General features: G+C 53.6%; 1 protein-coding gene across 9 annotated transcripts in view, besides 9 other annotated features; it reads left to right on the forward strand.

The window, feature by feature from the left end:
• TMCC2 (transmembrane and coiled-coil domain family 2) overlaps window positions 1-17,422 on the forward strand; it is a 45,398-nt gene extending 27,976 nt beyond the window's left edge. For 6 of the 9 annotated variants that reach the window (XM_047436073.1, NM_014858.4, NM_001242925.2 and 3 more), the window contains 3 exons: window positions 13,029-13,963; window positions 15,199-15,334; window positions 15,892-17,422. In XM_047436073.1, the coding sequence (XP_047292029.1) occupies window positions 13,029-13,963; window positions 15,199-15,334; window positions 15,892-16,203 (1,383 nt within the window). In that variant the 3' untranslated portion in view covers window positions 16,204-17,422. Of the gene's footprint in view, window positions 1-280; window positions 496-1,275; window positions 1,446-13,028; window positions 13,964-15,198; window positions 15,335-15,874 lie in introns of those variants that run through there. The other 3 variants (NM_001297613.2, NM_001331034.1, XM_005245686.4) reach the window with 3 other exon arrangements.
• Window positions 1,412-1,921: an enhancer, noted in NCBI's record as "H3K4me1 hESC enhancer chr1:205226461-205226970 (GRCh37/hg19 assembly coordinates)". NCBI's record gives its function as "activates a minimal SCP1, AML or CMV promoter by ChIP-STARR-seq in primed H9 embryonic stem cells {active_cell/tissue: H9 hESC(primed)}" and the evidence as "EXISTENCE:reporter gene assay evidence [ECO:0000049][PMID:30033119]".
• Window positions 7,344-8,041: an enhancer, noted in NCBI's record as "H3K27ac hESC enhancer chr1:205232393-205233090 (GRCh37/hg19 assembly coordinates)". NCBI's record gives its function as "activates a minimal SCP1, AML or CMV promoter by ChIP-STARR-seq in naive H9 embryonic stem cells {active_cell/tissue: H9 hESC(naive)}" and the evidence as "EXISTENCE:reporter gene assay evidence [ECO:0000049][PMID:30033119]".
• Window positions 12,104-12,604: an enhancer, noted in NCBI's record as "H3K4me1 hESC enhancer chr1:205237153-205237653 (GRCh37/hg19 assembly coordinates)". NCBI's record gives its function as "activates a minimal SCP1, AML or CMV promoter by ChIP-STARR-seq in primed H9 embryonic stem cells {active_cell/tissue: H9 hESC(primed)}" and the evidence as "EXISTENCE:reporter gene assay evidence [ECO:0000049][PMID:30033119]".
• Window positions 13,568-14,088: an enhancer, noted in NCBI's record as "H3K27ac-H3K4me1 hESC enhancer chr1:205238617-205239137 (GRCh37/hg19 assembly coordinates)". NCBI's record gives its function as "activates a minimal SCP1, AML or CMV promoter by ChIP-STARR-seq in primed H9 embryonic stem cells {active_cell/tissue: H9 hESC(primed)}" and the evidence as "EXISTENCE:reporter gene assay evidence [ECO:0000049][PMID:30033119]".
• Window positions 15,792-15,936: an enhancer, noted in NCBI's record as "145 bp 1:205240913 sequence used in MPRA reporter constructs". NCBI's record gives its function as "activates a minimal TATA-containing promoter with rs9659978 allelic activity by MPRAs in C283T melanocytes {active_cell/tissue: C283T}" and the evidence as "EXISTENCE:reporter gene assay evidence [ECO:0000049][PMID:36423637]".
• Window position 15,864: a transcriptional cis regulatory region, noted in NCBI's record as "rs9659978 or 1:205240913 MPRA-significant variant associated with a GWAS melanoma risk locus at 1q32.1". NCBI's record gives its function as "allelic transcriptional activity by MPRAs in C283T melanocytes {active_cell/tissue: C283T}" and the evidence as "EXISTENCE:reporter gene assay evidence [ECO:0000049][PMID:36423637]".
• Window positions 17,600-17,894: a silencer, noted in NCBI's record as "tiled region #11318; K562 Repressive DNase unmatched - State 12:CtcfO". NCBI's record gives its function as "represses a minimal TATA promoter and a strong SV40 promoter by Sharpr-MPRA in K562 cells {active_cell/tissue: K562}" and the evidence as "EXISTENCE:reporter gene assay evidence [ECO:0000049][PMID:27701403]".
• Window positions 18,139-18,720: an enhancer, noted in NCBI's record as "H3K27ac-H3K4me1 hESC enhancer chr1:205243188-205243769 (GRCh37/hg19 assembly coordinates)". NCBI's record gives its function as "activates a minimal SCP1, AML or CMV promoter by ChIP-STARR-seq in primed H9 embryonic stem cells {active_cell/tissue: H9 hESC(primed)}" and the evidence as "EXISTENCE:reporter gene assay evidence [ECO:0000049][PMID:30033119]".
• Window positions 18,721-19,303: an enhancer, noted in NCBI's record as "H3K27ac-H3K4me1 hESC enhancer chr1:205243770-205244352 (GRCh37/hg19 assembly coordinates)". NCBI's record gives its function as "activates a minimal SCP1, AML or CMV promoter by ChIP-STARR-seq in primed H9 embryonic stem cells {active_cell/tissue: H9 hESC(primed)}" and the evidence as "EXISTENCE:reporter gene assay evidence [ECO:0000049][PMID:30033119]".

The following is a 19,325-nucleotide window of genomic DNA, read 5'->3' on the forward strand; positions in this document are numbered from 1 at the left end:
CAGAGCTGGCCCCAGAAATTGGGACCTATGTAATATGCTTTGCCAGGCTTCTTCACAAACCCCAAGTCATCAGCCAACCACAAATGTTTGTATAGTTTCCATGAGCCCAGGGTATGAGGACTCCTGATCTCAGTGATTTTGGCCTGCAAGCCCTGGCACTGGCTCCCAGAGATAGCACTGGGCCCTTATCTCTTCACACCTTCTTGAATTTGGGACTACCCAATCAACGTGACGCGTGTCGGCCATCAGTATTTAAGCCTGGAGTTCCTCACCAGACTCAAGTGGGTGCAGAATCCATGTCTTTCTGAACGACAGTTCTGCTGTGAGAAGCTGCCATTAGAGAGATCCAGCAGGCCCCAGGACTCAGCTGGCCAGCCGGTGACACTGCTCACTGCTCATTGTCCTCAGCTGTGGACCTCTGTCCCCCTCTGCTGGCCACTCACAGAATTTCCTGCTGGCACTGTCAAGATGAAGTCCAAGGAGGAAGAGACTGCTGTGAGTTTCCCATCTGTGCTTTATCTTGGGTGTTTTTGCCAGGGCAATGCTGGCAGAGACTGGGAAGCAGAAGCTAGTGCAGAAGTGGCCATTGGTGTCCAGGGCAGAGACTGGATTTCTGGGACAGGATCTCAGGGCAGAAGAATTCCCCTGGTGAGGCTGGCTGCTGTCAGCTTCCTCCAGGTGGTTATTGGAGTAGAGAAACTGCCTTGGAAGTGATGGTGCCTTAAGCCAACGGGCAGGGCAGCAGGGAGAGGAGGAGAGGACTCTGGCTGGAGCTGGCTGTGTTAGGATCTGCCAGGGAGCCCCCCTCCAGGCTCTAGTCTTTTTTGGCTTTGGAGAGCTCTTCGCTATCCTGGAAGGCTGGCTGGGAGGCTCACTTCCATTCCGAATCCATGAGACTGCTCTGTTTGTGAGAGGAGCTTCTGATCATGGGAGGCATTTCTGTGAGATGGGAGGGGTGAGGTGGAGTGCCTGTCTTCTGGGTGGTTGAAGGATGCAGGTGCACATGTCATGTGTCCTCGTGCACATCCCTTTCAACCCCCTTTGCCCCCCACCCCCACCCCTCCTCATTGATGCCTGTCACACCTGGGTGTCCTTATGCACACAACTCACAGTGGAACAGCTGGACTTGTGGAGGGGCATCTCATCAGAGCTCGGTCCTCCCGCGCTCGGTGATCCTCCCTGTCTCCTGCCAGATGGGAAGGAGCAGCCCGTGAGCCCCAGGGGAGGGGGAAATCTCCTAGAGCAATCCGCCCCTAATCCCCAGGCTGTGCCTCAGTCTGGAGATGGCGGCTGCAGAGTCTGGGAACTCAGGCACACCTGCTCGCAGCCCAGTGCTGCCCAGGGTCTGTGACCCCGGGGGCCTGACACAGTCCGCAGACAGCTGGGGCCTCAGAGCCCCGGGTACCTCATCGCCGGCACGGCTTCGGGAAACAGTGCCCACACAGGTGAGGCGTCTGGTGGGTGGAAGGAGAGAATTTCACCGGGCGGGGTGGAGTTGGGGGATGGGAAAAGGCCTGTTCTGCAGTTAGTCAGGTGGGCTGTGCTTACACTCCAGTCTCTCAGGGAGCTCTCCTCCAGGTATAGAGAACTGTTTGTGGGTGGGAGAAGGGAGGAGCCTTAGGCTGCCAAATGCTGGGAGAGCCCCTGGGGTTGGATGTGGGCGCCCTGTGCAGGAAGGCAGGTGAACCCTGGCAGAGATGCCTCCAGAAGCTGTGGCTATGTGGCACTTCAGCTGGGGCCCAGGCACCTTATTAAGTGGAGGGGTGTTCCTGGTTGTGGTCGCTTGTGTCTGTGAAGAAACAGTGACAGGAATGGGGACTGTGAAGGTCCAGTGAGTGCTGACCCCAGGGAGACAGTGGGAGAGGCCATAAGGAGTAAAATGTTTGGGTACTGAGAGTTTTTAGGGAATTCAGAGGATGGACAATGGAGAAGACCTGAATATGAGAGGGGAGCTCGGGGCCCCAACTGGGATCTGTGGGTGTGAGGAGACGAGGAGGGTGCAGGACATTTACTGGACAAAAGGGCTTTGTTCTCCACAGGGCAGACACTGAGGGGAGGATGTAGTTTTCATCAGAACTGAGGGGTGGCCCTAATGGAAGGGGCTAGAAGCCAAGGGTTAGATGAGAGGGATGTCTCCACCAGGACAAGAGAGTAGCCCTTAGGGTCAGGGCAGGAGGAAGAACTTGCTGGCCACAGGAGGTGGCAGGTGGAAGCCTCTACCTGGTGTCAGCTGATAATAGGCAGCTGGCTCTGCACTGCCTGGAGATGAGTAGTTGCTGCTTGAAAGGATGAGTGAGTGACTTTCCTTGTCTCTCGGTAGTTTGCACCTGAAATCCCCTTGTAGTAGAGCGAGATGCCTTTTAAAGCTACTGAGGGCATGCTCTGCCCTTCGAATCCCCCATGTGGCAGCTGGGGCCTTGCTACAGGGGTTTTGTCACCCCCTTGTGCCCATGGTGAACTGACTCAGGTCCATACTGCCCCACATGTGTCCCATTCAGTGTCTGAGCACGTGGTGCCTGCCCTCTTGAGAAAAGCCGCTTAGGCTCCCAGGCACCAATTAAACCGATAGGTAGGCTCTTTCTCCACCCCCACCCCTTTGCCCACCTGGGAGCACCCGGGTCAGCTGTGATGACACATCCAGAGCTGGAGTGAGCAGCTTCCTGTTACCCACATATCCTCACCAGGAAGGCAGAGAGCCACCAGCCCCACCGGGCTATTCCTGCTGAGTTGAAAAAATGGAATGGGGAAAGCCTCTGACTTCAGGACCAAGGGTTGGAATAATTTTTCCACCCTGCTCTTGCTGGAATGTTGGGTTGGTACAAGAAATTTCAAGTTCCTTCTCTCCCAACTTTACCGTAAGGTCACATGACCTCTTTGGGTTGAAGGATTTTAGCTGGCTGTAGGCTTTCCTCTCCATCCTAGTCTGGTTGACCTCCCCTTCCATCTGAGAATGGGTAGAAAAAGGGAATCTGAGCGTTCTTTATCCCGAGAGGGCCACTGAAATCAGAGTCACGGGGCAGCAGTCAGCAGATTGAAGCATCTCTGCTGAGTCACCCAGGCCTGCCAGCCCCGGGGCCGCACTCGCCTGCTGGGCTCTGACCCACTGGGAGCCCAGACCTTGCTCCCAGGAGCGGTGTTCTGCACAGGCCTGGGCCTGCTTGTCTAGACCCATAGACAAGCCAGGGTTGACACCTGACTCCATTGTCAGGATGACTGGGCTGCCCTGCTTTCCTAAAGGGAAGCATAGGAACCCCCAAAGCTTTTTCTTTGTCTTTTTTTTTTTTCCATCTAAGAGTGACCTTATATTGTCTTTCCAACTCCTGAGCAGATGGCTAACATGAGAAGGCCCCTTTCTCCCTGTCAGCCTGCTGTGGGGACCCTAACGGGTTCTTTGCGAGTCTGGGAAGGGGCTGCCTGCCTCAGAGGGAGGAGGGTCAGAGGTACAGCTTTCTCGTGCAGCTGGGAGCACAGGTGTGGAGCACATGTTCCTTGCAAATGGCAGCTGTTTCTGTGGTCTATCTTGAAAACTGCTTAATGCATTTACATTATGAAGAAAGAGAACCACGATTCACATTTCCCAATTTACATAGCTAGTGCCCTTCCCCTCCCTCCACACAGCTTCACTTAAGCCTGGATACTTTCTGTTCCAACAGTGTCTACTGTGTGCCTCCCGGATATCGGGGATCCAGGCTGCTGGGCTAGTGTGTGAGAGGAAGCACCGGTGTCCCATGTCCAGGGCCGGGTTGACACGAGGACACTGAGTTCAGGCCCTGGGAGGAGGTGGAAACCCCAGGAAGTTCCACGGGAGCCAGGGCTGGGAAGCCCTGATCCGGCAGCTCCTTATAATCTGGCAGAGAGCCTAATCCAGCTTCATTTAGTGTTGTGAAAGGGGCCAGGGAGGTGAGTCCGGGGTGCCACCAAGGCCATGTGGAGGGGAGCCCCCAGGTGTGCGTGGGCTGAGGGTAGATCTCACTGGAGCAGGAAGAGGAATAGGGAAAGTTGGGTCTTGGACACTTGAGAGAACGTCCCAGCTCTGGCTTATCCAGACATTTGTCAGCACTTCTCAGCCCTCAGCCTTTGTGTAGAGCAAGATGTAAGGCCCTGGCTGGTAGGGTCCCTGAGCAGGGGGCATTCTGGTGTGGAGGGGGATCATGGAAGAAGTATGACTCTCCCTCCACGGTTCTCCTCTTAGAGCTTGCCCAGCCCATTCACAAGGATTAATCTGGAGTCAGGTACCTGTGGAGTGGCCAGCCTATCTCAGGCAGGTTGGGGTGGGGTGAGGAGGTCATGGTGTGGGGGCCACAACTCCAGGTGTGGTGCTGGTGGCTGGGCATGGATAGGGAGCTGGGTGGCATGGGCCAAACAGGACTCTGTGATGGTCTGGAGAGAGGAGCAGTGGTTCCTGTGTAGCCCACCTGTGCCCTGCTTTGGGCTGGGGAACCTTGGGCATTTCTGCCTGCTACTGACTGGGAGTTGAGTGATCTGGTCTTTTTAGTCAACCAGCTGCACGACAGGGGTATTAGGAGTGTGTTAGGAAGAGCTGCTACCCTACTAAACCTGACACAGTGAGCTGAAGGACCCAGAGACCCTCCTGCATACCCACTCTGTAATGGACAATGGTGGGAGCTGTGGCCCAGGCCAGTGGAGGACCCTGGCCTTCCACACCCAATTGTTGAAACATCACCTCCATCTAGTTCCTAAACATTTTCAGCAACCCCAAGGAAACCCTGTACCCATTAAGCTGTTACTCCCCATTCCTTCCCCCACCCCCACCCCAGCCCCCTGGCAGCCACTAATCAGCTTTCTGTCTCTGTGGATTTAACTGTTCTGGATATTTCATATAATGGAATCATTCATTATGTGGCCTTTCTTGTCTGGTTTGTTTCACTTAGCCTAACATTATTGAGGTTCACCCATGTTGGAGCATTACCGGCACTTTGTTTCTTTCATGGCCGAATAGTATTTCATTGCAAGAAATGTCACATTTTGTTGACCCATTCATCAGTTAATGGACATCTGAGTTATGTCCACCTTTTGGCTATTGTGAATATTGCTGCTATGAGCATTTGTGTACAAATGAGTGTTGAATACTCATTTTCAATTCGTTTGGGAATTGAAAATATCTAGGAGTGGAATTGCTGGGTCATAAAGTAATTCTATGTTAACTTTTTGAGGAACTCCCAAACTGTTTTCCACATCAGCTGTGCTGTTTTATGTTTTAGGTATGTTGCACAAAGCTTCCAATTCCTGCACATGCTCACCAACACTTATTTCCTTTTTTTTTTTTTTTTTTTTTTGAAGCAGGGTCTCACTCTGTTGCCCAGGCTGGAGTGCAGTGGTGTGTGTGATCATAGCTCACTGCAGCCTCGAACTCCTGGGCTCAAGCCATCCTCCTGCCTCAGCTTCCTGAGTAGCTGGGACTACAGGCATGCACCACCACACCTGGCTGTTTTTTTATTTTTTGTAGAGACAGGTCTTGCTGTGTTGCCCAGGCTGGTCTTAAACTCCTGGACTCAAGCAATTTTCCCATTTTGGCCTCCAAAAGTGCTGGGACCACAGGTGTGAGCCGCTGTGTGCAGCCCACTTATTTCCTTTCTAAAAATTACTAGGGGCTGGGCTTGGTGACTCATGCCTGTGGCCCCAGCTACTTAGGAAGCTGAGGTGGGAGGATTGCTTAAGCCTGGGACGTCGAGACTACAGTGATCCACGATCATGCCATTGCACTCCAGTCTAGGCCATGGAGTGAGAACCCGTCTCAAAAAAAAAAAAATTATTATAGTCATTCTAAGGGTGTGAAGCGTCTCTTAATTTGTTCGTATTTGTTTCTAAGCACCTGCTTTATGCCCTTTACTCAGTGTTTCATCTCATCGTCCTGATAGCTCTCAGCTGGTAAGTGACAGAGCCAGGATCTAAATTAGTGCCCAACTCCAACTTTAAAGCCCTTTCCTTTACCTTCCGCAGACCCTGTATCCTGTCTCATGGCTGTTCTTTTTGGCAAGTCTTTCTCCTTTTCTCACCCTCTGTCCTGTTCCAGCACTCTGAACAGCTTTCTCATCTTTTTCTTCTTGTTCACTAATTTTCTTTCCTTTGTTAAAGCATAATCTTTCCTTTGTTAAAGCTGTCCCTATCTGTGTACCAGCTCCTTGGCTCTGTTTACCTTGGTTGCCCTCTCTCCATCGAGTCCTGAAAGGTAGCTGTCACCCTGGGTACATGTGCTGGGGAAGGCAGGGCATGGAGAGCTCCCCACCTTCTTCAGACATGCCAGCTCCCTCCACGGGGAAGGAGAGCAAAGTGATGTTCTGTGATTGGAGACCCAACAGCAGATCCCAGGCATTGTAAACCTCTGTGAGGGGTAGGAAAAAGCCGGCGTCCTGCTGCAGGACTCCCAGGCTGGAATCTTGACCCTGGGGTAGAGAAGAGGGGCTAGCAAGAGGACCAGGATCCCAGCCCAAGGCCCCTCCACACACCAGGCCCAGGAGTGTCTCTTCTCTCATTCCTGGGGATTTCCCAGCCAGCTCCGACTCTGCTTCTCAGAGTTGTAACTAGACAGCTCAGCCTCTCAGGGATCTGGAGGTCTTGGGTTTCCTCCAGGGATGGGGGCAGGGACTAAAGATCCTGGAGGGGAAGGATGGGGGGATGTCTGCTATTTCCTGTTAACATGCAGGGTGTTTCCCTTGTTCTCCAAACTTTGAAATAACCTTTCCTGGGTTTGGTCAGCTTGTGTGTGAAGAAGGCAGATCCAAGTGAGATAAATGTGAGGTTTGCCCCAGAGGGAGGCTACCCCATTCTTGATTTGAGGAGTGTCTCAGTGCAGGCTGGGGCTCCAGGCAAACTCTGCCTACATCCCCGTGTCCTTCTTTGCATCCCTGATGGGTGGAGTTGGGGACTGCAGGATCTAAGGAGGAGGCTGGTGGTGGGGAGAAGCTCTTAGATGCTTTCCTGAGGTTGGGCTCCAGGCTACAAGCAGGAATGAGCTCAGTCTCAACTAGGATCTCGTGGTGAGTCCGTAGTAAAAGTCTCTGGTTGGCAGGGGGAGTTATTGAAGGGAGTTAATTCAGATGGAAGTGGTTGCCGAGGTGTTCCAGCCTCGAATGCAAAAACCACAAACAGGATCTTGGTATCTCCCACAGAGTGTTCCCTCAAGCACCCCCCACCGCCTCCCGCAACACACACAAACCTCTTCTCTCTCTTGTTCTGAGGTTTGCCCACATGCATGCAGGTACACACACACACACCCCTAAGCACGAGACGGGGCTGGGTGGGCAAGTGGAGTCTGCATGGAGACCAGTGAGATTAAGGGTTACCTCCAGTGAGGAAGGCTGGAGATGCCACCGTGATGTCTTCAGAGGTGATTTTAAATGCTATGGCCAATATTTGGACCTTTCTAAGGATTTGCACGCCCTCAGATATGGAGAAGGCAGGACGGGGCTGGGGAGAACTCCTTTCTTTTTCCTTGCTCTCTCAGGGTGTAAAAACCCACAGTCTGGCCGAGTGCAGCTTGGCTCAGGCCTGTAATCCCAGCACTTTAGGAGGCCAAGGCAAGAGGATTGCTTAAGCCCAGGAGTTTGAGACCAGCCTGGGCAACATGGCAAAACCCTTTCTCTACAAAAAAATACACAAATTAGCCAGGTGTGGTGGCATGTACCTGTAGTCCCTGCTACTGGGGAGGCTGAGGTGGGAGGATTTGAGCCTGGGGAGGTCAAGGCTGCAGTGAACCATGATTACCTTACTGCACTCCAGCACTCCAGCACTCCAGCCTGGGCAGCAGAGTGATTCTGACTCAACAAAAAACAAAAAAAGCCTGCAGTCTTAGCTATATGAAATTCCAGTTTCATCGCTGTGGAGTGAGGCTGGGCTGTGGTTGATAACCACTGATTAGACTCTTGCTTCCTAAAAAGGTGGCAGAGGGCCAGCTCTCCCAGCCAAAGGTGTCTTAAGCTGTGGATCTGTCAGAGCTACCCAGCCCTCCAAGGTGAGGTTAGGCCCTGAGTTTTGGAGCCAGACAGGATTTATATTCTAGGTTCTTTACTTACTAGTGGTGTAGTCCTGGGCAAGTTACATCTGTAGGCCTTGGTTTTCTCTCCTGTAAAATGGAAATAATAGTGCTACCCATCTTGTGAGGTTAATACTGGGATTAAATGAATTAATAGGTGTAAACACTGAGAGACAAGTCTGACGTATGTCAAGAAATGTTAGTGTTTGAAGGAGATTGGTTCCAAGACCCCCTGCAGATACCAAAGTTCCAGATTGCTTAAGTCTCATACAGTAAATAGTGTAGTATTTGCATAGAACCTGCACACATCCTCCCTTTAAATCATCTCTAGATTACGTACAATACCTAGTACAATGTAAATACTATGAAAATAGAAAATAGTGTGACACTGTTGTTTCTTGTTTTTTGTTTTTTGTTTTTGTTTTTGAGACGGAGTCTCTGTCACCCAGGCTGGAGTGCAGTGGTGCAGTCTTGGCTCACTGCAACTTCCGCCTCCCAGGTTCAAGTGATTCTTCTGCCTCAGCCTCCTGAGTAGCTGGAACAACCGGAACATGCCACCACACTCAGTTAATTTTGTTTTTTTTTTTTGGGACGGAGTCTCGCTCTGTTGCCCAGGCTGCAGTGCAGTGGCGTGATCTCGGTTCACTGCAAGCTCCGCCTCCCAGGTTCGCGCCATTCTCCCGCCTCAGCCTCCCGAGTAGCTGGGACTACGGGTGCCCGCCACCACATCCCACACCCAGCTAATTTTTGTATTGTTAGTAGAGACAGGGTTTCACCATGTTGGCCAGGCTGGTCTCCAACTCCTAACCTCAGGTGATCCGCCCGCCTTGGCCTCCCAAAGTGCTGGGATTACAGGTGTGAGCCACTGCGCCTGGCCCCTGTATTTTAAAATTTGTATTATTATTATTTTAATCCATGGTTGGTTGAATCCATGGATGTGGAATTCTCAGATACAGAAGGCTAACTATAATTGTTATCCTTATCCTTTGTCCAAAACATTTAGAATTTGAGAAAAAGAGAAGAGCCCAGAGGCCATAGGGAAAATATGCCACCTTTCTGGAAGCCAGTGGAACTGAGTCCTCCACAGGGAAGAGAATAAAATGGGGATATGTTCTGTGACTGGAGACTGACCCGCTCAATCCAGGCATTGCAGACCTTCATGTCACCAAGGAGGTGTCCAGGCCTCTGTGGAGGGACGGAAGGAGCTGGTGTCCTGCTGCAGGACTGTTAGGCTCAAGTCTGGGTCCTAGGGTAGAGAAGAGGGGTGGACGAGGGGGCCAGGGCTTCAGCCCAGGCCTCTGCACCCACCATCAGGCCCCAGCTGTTTTTCCCAGGAGTGTTTCTTCTCCTCTCATTAATGGGGATTTCACAGCCAGCTTCAACTCCGCTTTTCCATTTGTAAGCCAGAAAGATGCCAAATCAAGGGAGGAGAGAGCCAAGCTGCTAGGAAGGAGCCACGGCAGGTGGAGACTTTGCTATTTTACACTCCTGTATAGTCCTAAAACACTTTTGCTTTTCACAGCATTTCACATCCATTTCTTATTAGCTCCTCCCACTCTCCCCCTAAGTAGTTGGGACAGACTCTGTCCCTGTTACAAAGATGAGCAAATGGCAGTGATGCAGCCAGACTCAGAACCCATTTTCTTTTCTTTTTTTTTTTTTTTTGAGACGGAGTCTCGCTCTGTCGCCCAGGCTGGTGTGCAGTGGCGTGATCTCGGCTCACTGCAACCTCTGCCTCCCAGTTCAAGAAATTCTCCTGCCTCAGCCTCCTCAGTAGCTGGGATTACAGGCGTCCGCCACCACGCCCAGCTAATTTTTGTATTTTTAGTAGAGACAGGGTTTCACCATGTTGGTTAGGCTGGTCTCGAACCCCTGACCTCATGATCCACCCGCCTCAGCCTCCCAAAGTGCTGGGATTACAGGCATGAGGCACTGCACCTGGCCCCAGAACCCATTTTCTAGATATTCTTTCTCCCAAGAAGACAGTGAAAGAGAGCTGGGCATCTGTGGAAAGGGCAGCAGCTTTATAAGAGAGACAGGTTCTGGGCTGGGCGTGGTGGCTCAAGCCTGTAATCCCAGCACTTTGGGAGGCTGAGGCGGGCGGATCATGAGGTCAGGAGATCGCGACCATCCTGGCTAACACGGTGAAACCCCATCTCTACTAAAAATACAAAAAATTAGCCGGGCATGGTGGCAGGCGCCTGTAGTCCCAGCTACTCGGGAGGCCGAGGCAGGAGAATGGCGTGAACCCCGGAGGCGGAGCTTGCAGTGAGCCAAGATTGCGCCACTGCACTGCAGCCTGGGCGACAGAGCGAGACTCTGTCTCAAAAAAAAAAAAAAAAAAAAAGTTCTGTAACATCAAAGGCCATGTGTTGCCTATAAAACATAATTTTGGGCCGGGCGCGGTGACTCATGCTTGTAATCCCAGCACTTTGGGAGGCTGAGGCGGGTGGATCCCCTGAGATGAGGAGTTGAAGAGCAGTCTGGCCAACATGGCGAAACTCCATTTCTACTAAAAATACAAAAAAATTAGCCGGGCGTGGCGGCTCATGCCTGTAATCCCAGCTACTCAGGAAGCTGAGGCAGGAGAATCACTTGAACCCAGGAGGCATAGGTTGCAGTGAGCTGAGATGGCCCCACTGCATTCCAGCCTGGGCGACAGAGACCCCGTCTCCAAAAAAAAACAAAAAACAAATAAAAAAAAAAAAACCGTTAATTTTGTGTAGTTCTAGCAATACAGAGTAAATTTGTTGGTATAATTTCTGAAATAAATTTAGGCCAGCTTGATTGCAGGCATTTTTTCTCCCAGGGGAAAAAAGGGATTACGCTGCCTAGATTCAGATTCAGCGTTTAATGAGCACCTTCTGTATGCTTCGCACTATGCCAGCTTGCCAGACGTCATCTTGTATAGCTCTCACAAAAGACCTGAGAGTAGCTGTGATTACCCGCTTTTTGTCGGCGAGGACACTGAAGGTCAGGAAAATGGAGAGATGGGCTTTTTGCTGTCACTGCAGGGAACAAGGCAGGAAGAAGCAGCCTAATTGCAGGTTAGGGTTTTAAGTCAGGCTACTGGGACAGTTAAGACCTTGGAGCAGATCACTTAAGGGAGACTGTGGGTATGAAAGGTCAGAAATTCTGAGAAGCAGAGTCCTGAAGGTATGAGCACCTGCTGGGAGGTCAAGGGGGGATGAGGGGAGACCCAAAGCAAACATAAGAGGGAAGTCCTGACTTCAGGAGTGATTAGGGATGGGGTTGTGGTTGTCCACAGCATCCCCAGGGGGAAGTGTAACCTGGAAAAGCCCCAGTGGAAGCCCACAGAGGAGCCGCCCTCCCCTGGCTCCTGAGTTTGGCAGGGCTATTATTTTCAATCGTGTTTTCCAATAACTTTGCACCTTGGCAGAATCAAGCCAAGTGACTTATGCCTGTAATTGGCAGGGACTGTTTCCAGTTCTGGTGCATGTGACTGGGCCACTATCTTTGTGTTTAACCCCTTCCCCCACATATATCTGACCACACCCCTGCCCCCTCCCATACATACTAAGGGCAAATGATCTGACCCAGCCTTGCTTGGGGTGTGCTGTGTGTAAAAATACATGGGGTTGAGCCATTTCCTGCTGCTTCCGTTGTTGTATGGCGATAAGACACTGGGGACTCAGCTGTGGACAGAAAGATCCTCCAACAGGCTGAGAGGAACCAGGCACCAGGGGAGCAGGTCTCAGGCCTCCCCGCTTTCAGCCCACCTTACATTTCCCATCTTTCCTATCTCCTGTGACCTTTTCCTCCTTTCTCTCCCTCCCCATCATCCTTTCTTAGTCTCTCTTCTCCTTTCCTTGTCTCTCCGACTTTGGTGCCACCCTGATGCACTCGGGAAGCCTGCCCGCCTGGTGGGGAGTGAAGGGGGCTGTCATTTCCTTCCTACGCATTCACCCTCTGCAAAGCTGGGCGGCTAGTAGCCTCAGGCCCCCAAACTGGTCCCTGCTTCCCTTGGCCTTTGAGTTACTTCTGGGGCTTTAGTCCTCGGGGACCTGGCCAGCAGGGTGGGGGTGGGGCATGCTCCTCTCCCAATTCTCGGATACTAGGAAGGACTGGGGGCTTCCACCATTATGAAGCGGAAAAGGTTACCAATGACTCTGGAGAGCCGTAAGGTAATGGAGGGCCTGGGAGAGGTGTCAGCAGAGGCAGGGTGGCCCGCTGAGCTGCGTTGTTAGTGAACATGGGGTGGCGAGGGCAGGCAGGCAGGGCACAAAGTGTAGGCGGTCAGCCCTGAGGGAGAGGCCTGCTCAAGGCAGGAGCCTTATGAAGTGGTTGAGTCCAGAGAGAAAATTTGTCTCATTCCTCAGAAATCCAACCCCATGACTCCAGTGAGGCCTCAGACCTGCCTGGTCCATGTGCTGGAGCTTTAAGAGCTCTGGGCTGGGGCCAGGCGTAGTGGCTCACACCTGTAATCCCAGCACTTTGGGAGGCCAAGGCAGGCAGATCACTTGAGGTCAGGAGTTCGAGACCAGCCTGGCCAACACGGTGAAACCCCATCTCTACTGAAAATACAAAAATTAGCCAGGCATGGTGGTGGGTGCCTGTAATACTGGCTTCTCGGGAGGCAGAGGCAGGAGAATCCCTTGAACCAGGGAGGTGGAAGGTGCAGTGAGCTGAGATTACGCTACTGCAGTCCAGCCTGGGCAACAGAGCGAGACTGTGTCTCAAATAGATAAACAAACAAATAAATAAAAGAGTTCTGGGCTGGAGGTTCTGTCCCTTCCTGGCCGTGTGTCCCTGAACAACTTGTTTGACCTTTCTGGGCCAAAAGAGGAGCAGCTCTGCCTAGACTGCATTTTGGGGATGCTGTGGGGACGGGGTAGAGAGCAGATGTGAAAGCCCTGTGTAAGTGGCTGTCAGGGATACTGCTCTTGTGGTGGTTGTCTTCTTTTGGACTCCTGCATCCATTTTCTAGATAGAAAAACCAAGTCCAGAGGCATCCAGGGGCACTCCTATGGTCCCAGGGTTTACCCATGCTTCCTCTGCCTGCCTCTTTCCCCAGGTCGATAAGGGAGACCTGGTGGCCCTGAGCCTCCCCGCCGGCCATGGTGACACCGACGGCCCCATCAGCCTGGACGTGCCCGATGGGGCACCGGACCCCCAGCGGACCAAGGCCGCCATTGACCACCTGCACCAGAAGATCCTGAAGATCACCGAGCAGATCAAGATTGAGCAGGAGGCTCGCGACGACAATGTGGCAGAGTATCTGAAACTGGCCAACAACGCGGACAAGCAGCAGGTGTCACGCATCAAGCAAGTGTTCGAGAAGAAGAACCAGAAGTCAGCCCAGACCATCGCCCAGCTGCACAAGAAGCTGGAGCACTACCGCCGGCGCCTGAAGGAGATTGAGCAGAACGGGCCCTCGCGGCAGCCCAAGGACGTGCTGCGGGACATGCAGCAGGGGCTGAAGGACGTGGGCGCCAACGTGCGCGCAGGCATCAGCGGCTTTGGGGGCGGCGTGGTGGAGGGCGTCAAGGGCAGCCTCTCTGGCCTCTCACAGGCCACCCACACCGCCGTGGTGTCCAAGCCCCGGGAGTTTGCCAGCCTCATCCGCAACAAGTTTGGCAGTGCTGACAACATCGCCCACCTGAAGGACCCCCTGGAAGATGGGCCCCCTGAGGAGGCAGCCCGGGCACTGAGCGGCAGTGCCACACTCGTCTCCAGCCCCAAGTATGGCAGCGATGATGAGTGCTCCAGCGCCAGCGCCAGCTCAGCCGGGGCAGGCAGCAACTCTGGGGCTGGGCCTGGTGGGGCGCTGGGGAGCCCTAAGTCCAATGCACTGTATGGTGCTCCTGGAAACCTGGATGCTCTGCTGGAAGAGCTACGGGAGATCAAGGAGGGACAGTCTCACCTGGAGGACTCCATGGAAGACCTGAAGACTCAGCTGCAGAGGGACTACACCTACATGACCCAGTGCCTGCAGGAGGAGCGCTACAGGTAGGTGCCTGCCCACCCCCTCCTGCAGCCCAGCCGGACGTGGGATGAGGCAAGGAGCACTGGGTTTCAGACCCAGGGTGTGGAGGCAGTCAGAGGAGCATCCTCAGCCTCCTGGCTGCTGGAAGGAGCCAGCACGAGGCCCTAAGGAGCCTTCTTTCTTTTTTCCTTCTGTATTTTTTGGAGGCGGAGTGTCTCTCTGTCGCCCAGGCTGGAGTGCAGTGGCACGATCTCAGCTCACTGTAACCTCTGCCTCCTGGGTTCAAGCGATTCTCCTGCCTCGGCCTCCTGAGTAGCTGGGATTACAGGCACGCACCACTACACCCCGCTAATTTTTTGTATTTTTAGTAGCGACAGCGTTTCACCATGTTGGCCAGGCTGGTCTCGATCTCCTGACCTCAATTCAGGGATGACATTAATTCCTTCTTCATAGGGTCATAAAGATACAATGAGTCCAGACCTGTAAAGTCGAAGCATGTGAATGGATGTATAGCTTCCAAAACATGAACCTCCAGTCGGAGCTCCTGGGGCCAGCCTGGAACAGAGCTGACATCTCTCGGCCTCTCCTTCTGTGTCTCCCTCCGGTCCTGTGCTGCCCTTTTCTGCCCTTGGCTCTGTGCCTCTGCAGCACTTGCCGCTCGCTCCCTGGGCTTGTGGGGGGATCTTTTCCTTAGCTAGCACTTTCTCTTTTTCTTCTCCATATATATAAAGAAGGCTTGGAAAATTGAAGGGGAGCCCCACCTAAAAGCTAACCACTCCTCACATAACAGTCATCTTACGCTATTTTGTGCCTTCAGAGCCGGGATTGTGTCCTCTACACCCATGTGTCCCTGGTACCCAGAGAGCATCTGAGCCTAGGGCTTAAGAGCCCAGGTTGAAGTCAGCCAATCCTTAACTCCTCCATTCATGAGCTGCGTGATCCTAGGCAGGCTCCTCAGCCTCCACGCCTCAGTCTTCTCCTCTGTAAAATGGAGATGACACTGGCACCTATCTCATGGGATTGTGGGGAGGATCCTATGAGGTCATGTAGGTAAAATGCTTAGCACAGTGCCTACACCTAAGAAGTGCTGTGTAAATAGTAGCTTCTATTGTTGTTGCTGTTAAAATTAGAACAGAGCAGAGCTGGACACGGGGGATGGGCTGAGTCATTGTTTATTGAGAGAATGAATGAATCAACTGTGGGAGAGAGTGGAAGCTCGGGGAGCCAGGACTGGTGTCACTCTCTCTCCCTCCGCCAGGTACGAGCGGCTGGAGGAGCAGCTCAACGACCTGACTGAGCTTCATCAGAACGAGATGACGAACCTGAAGCAGGAGCTGGCCAGCATGGAGGAGAAGGTGGCCTACCAGTCCTATGAGAGGGCACGGGACATCCAGGTATGGCCAGGGCAACCTTGGGAGGCCCCAGATGTGCTGGTAGAGCTGGCAGCAGCCAGAGGGTTAGGGTTCTTGTCACGTGGGGCATGATAGACACAGGCTGGCCTGTTGGCCGGGGCCGATAGGCACATGGATGAAGAGGGCAGCGTAGCGGGAGCGGAGTGGAGTGAGCAAGACAGGCCTGAGGCTGACAGCGTGCACTGTGCAGAGGCAAGCCCACAGGGCAGAGGCCACCATGCCCCCCACCTCTTTGATGGCAGCTTCGCAAATGAGTATTTGGAGTTTCCAGGCTCCAGCCTGCCTCAAGAGGGAGCCAGCTGGGATTGGGCCAGCTCTTTTCCTTCCCTAGTAATCAAGACTCTCATTTCCTAGCATCCTCCCCAAAGAGTCATCCTTAAAGGTCTCTGACCCCAGTTGCAGCTGGTCAACCTCCACTCCTCCTGGCCTTTGGAGAGGAGACTTCGTTATAGGCACCTTCTCAGTGGGGTAGGTAGGTTTTCAGCCTAGGGGTCCTGCCCATCCTGAGCGCACACATGCCAGCCCCTCTGCCCCTGCAGGAGGCCGTGGAGTCCTGCCTGACCCGGGTCACCAAGCTGGAGCTGCAGCAGCAACAGCAGCAGGTGGTACAGCTGGAGGGCGTGGAGAATGCCAACGCGCGGGCGCTGCTGGGCAAGTTCATCAACGTGATCCTGGCGCTCATGGCCGTGCTGCTGGTGTTCGTGTCCACCATCGCCAACTTCATCACGCCCCTCATGAAGACACGCCTGCGCATCACCAGCACCACCCTCCTGGTCCTCGTCCTGTTCCTCCTCTGGAAGCACTGGGACTCCCTCACCTACCTCCTGGAGCACGTGTTGCTGCCCAGCTGAGTGGCCAGCCACACCAACCCTGTGCTCTCTGGCCCCCAGCTGGCCACACTTCTCCAGGAGGGACCCTTGGACTTCTTTGTGTGTCCAGTTTGGCCTCCTGCCCAAACTGTCCATTCCAGCAGCTCCTGCCCCCTTCTCTGTACTTGCTTCTGTCTGACACCTTCTCCCTGTTGGCCTGAAGGGAGCTTAGAATGCAGCCCTACCTGGAGATAGTGCGGGCACCTGTGGCCAAGTGGAGCAGAGGTGGACATGGGGTTGGATTGTTTTGATTATTTATAGTTACACAAGGACTTCTCCCAGCTGACCCTCAGGATGCCCCAAGTCAGGAAGACCATTAAGAATAGGAGGAGAGGGCTCTGCCTCAACTTTCCTAGGAAAGAGCCCACCTCGGAGATAGCTACGGTTTTCTCTGGTGGAGATGGTGAGGATGAAGGCTGGAGAGTGAGGGAGGAGGCTCTGCTGGCCGCAGAGAACACAGGGATGGGAGGGTCCCTAGCCTTCGGGCACCTCCAGGGCCAGAGAGCAGGCTCAGAGCAGCTAGTGTGGAGCTCAGCATCCCCACCCCACCCCTCCTCCCTGTAGAGCTGATTTGAGGCCTCCTTCTGGGGCTGGGCTCTGCAGGCCAGGTGGGTGTGGCCTGTGTTTTCCCTTCTGTTCTTTCTGCCTGTACTGGATCTGTTATTTTCAGGGAAACAGGCCCCAGGGCCCCCCTGAGCCTCACCCTAAGCCCTTAGGCCTCTGAGAGTGCTGTTGGGTTCTATTTATTTATTTATTTGTTCCTTTGTTCCCTACCCGTGCCCCCAGTGTCTTCCCTGCTGAGTACCAGGAGAGGTCCTGCCCCATCCTCTCTCTGAAGCCAGGGCCCTTCCATTCCATTTAGCCTTTGGATCATCCTGGCTGGGAGAAGTGGGACCGAGCCACCCAGCCCCACTATCCCCAAGCAGCCCTACAGCCGGGATGGGAGGCACGTGGCCTCTCTTTTATCCGTCTATTTATTTTGTAAGTGTATTCGTGTGGAGGAGGTTGTTGCTTTATTTTTTTAAGGCTCTGGAGTGTTGTGTATGGTTTCTTTTCACATCCCAGCCTCCCATGGGCACTTCTAAGAAGAGAGGGGATTTCTTGGAAAAGGAGAGAGGAATCCCCTAGAGCAGGGAAAGCAGTGCCTGCCAGCTGTTGTGCACCTTCCTGAGAAATAAATATCCTCTAAATTTTCAAACCATCCTGTCTGGTGTTGGTTGATTAGGTTGTGTCTGTGGGAACCACCACGTCTCTCCCCACACCCAAGCATTCTGGGTAACACAGGCTAGGCCTCTCCTGTTGACCTGAGGCCCTCTTCCTCCAGAATCCGACAAGGAACAAGGCATGGCCTAAGCGGTATGATAGAAGGGATGATATCCACCCCATCCAGGCCTCTTAGAGTCCAGGCAAAGGCAATTAGGAGAGAGATTTCCATAGCTCGGAGCAGGTGAGCCACCAGCGGCCTGAATGGCAGCAGCCATACCCAAGTGAGGCCACGAGAGGGCAGCAGAGTCCTTACGCTAACACTTTCTCCCGGTGCAGCCCCAAAGAAGGCAGCTGCTGGAGTTAGCTTGGTTTTCTCAGAGCCGTCAGCCAGAGCACAGAGCACCTGCTCTCCAGGTGCTGGAGCATGGGCTTGAGTGTAGTGACCAGGCCCTCTGTGGCTGCAGCACCCACTCCCGGCAGTTCACACAGATGGGCACCCTAGATGGCACTGCACTCCCAGCAGTAACCCTGTGGGGGTTTAGGAGAGGCCACCTGAATCTCCCTGCTGGGATGAAAAGATGCTGACTTCCAGCATCTGGAACAGGAGGGATGGTGGGAAATGCACCCACCCCAGAGACCTGGGTCCTGGCCCATAGTGAGTAGATGGCAGCCAACTCACATCTCTCTGCACCTCAGTCTCCACATCAGCGGTAGAGGATGTGCAGCAGCTCACTTCGAAGGGCTTGGACATTCTGCAGTTCTGTGGGTCTGACAAATCAGAAGTTGCCGCTGTACTTGTGGCCTCAGGCTTGAGGAGACAACAAGAGTCAGAGACAGTGCTGTCACCAGATTGGAGAGAAGGCTGTGCTGGTGCCACGGGGGGTGGCATTGGTGGCTCATCCTCACCCTCTGCACAATGTAAGAGTTTCACTAGGTGACCTTGCCGGGGCCTTCCAACAGTGTCATTCCTGGACCCTACACTCACCTCCCTTGGGGGCCACAGGTGTCCTAGAGCCCACATTCCTGGGCCCCAGGTGGGGGGTGGCTGCCCCAGGCTGCAGACATTTCCCACATTCCTCCCCAAGGTCAGGTGCCTTCCCTGAATTAAATGTCACTGCCAACAACAGCCCACACTGAAAGGGAGGAGGAAAAAGGGAGGGAGGGTGGCGGCCATGCTCAGCTGATCCTGAGACTGACAGCGAACAGAGGAGGTGGGGGAAGACCAGCCCCAGCTACACAGGGTCATCTGCAAAAAGGACAGAACACCAGCCTGTGTTTGCCTTATCATGACAACGTGTCTAATAAAGCCCTGCCTGTCTGGGACTCTGATGGTCACTGATGCTTCCTTGTTTGTGTTTGAGCCTTCTCGCCCTTTAGAAAAAAGGGGGTGCGGCCCGGCATGATGGCTTACGCCTGTAATCCCAACACTTTGGGAGGCCAAGGTGGGTGGATCACCGGAGGTCAGAAGTTCGAGACCAGCCTGACCAACATGGTGAAACCCCATCTCTACTTAAAATACAAAATTAGCCGGGCGTGGTGGCACATGCCTATAATCCCAGCTACTTGGGATGCTGAGGCAGGAGAATCACTTGAACCTGGGAGGCGGAGGTTGCAGTGAGCCAAGAGTGTGCCATTGCACTCCAGCCTGGGCGACAAGAGTGAAACTCTGTCTCAAATAAAAAAACAAAAAAAAAGAAGGAAAAAAGGGAGTGCATTGCCCCCACTTCAACCTGGCCTCCTTTGCTGGGGACCGTTCTTCAGAATGCAGGGCCAACAGGCAGGTCCTTCCCAGAGCATCTGTCATGCAGGTCCCAGCCCCTCACCTGAGGGTCCGGAGGTCTCAGCCAGGCTGGTATGCTCCCCTCAGCCTGGGTCCACTACAGAGGGAGTAGCTAAGA

Source organism: Homo sapiens, chromosome 1 (genome assembly GCF_000001405.40).
Source record: "Homo sapiens chromosome 1, GRCh38.p14 Primary Assembly".
In the NCBI taxonomy this organism is placed as follows: Eukaryota; Metazoa; Chordata; class Mammalia; order Primates; family Hominidae; genus Homo; species Homo sapiens.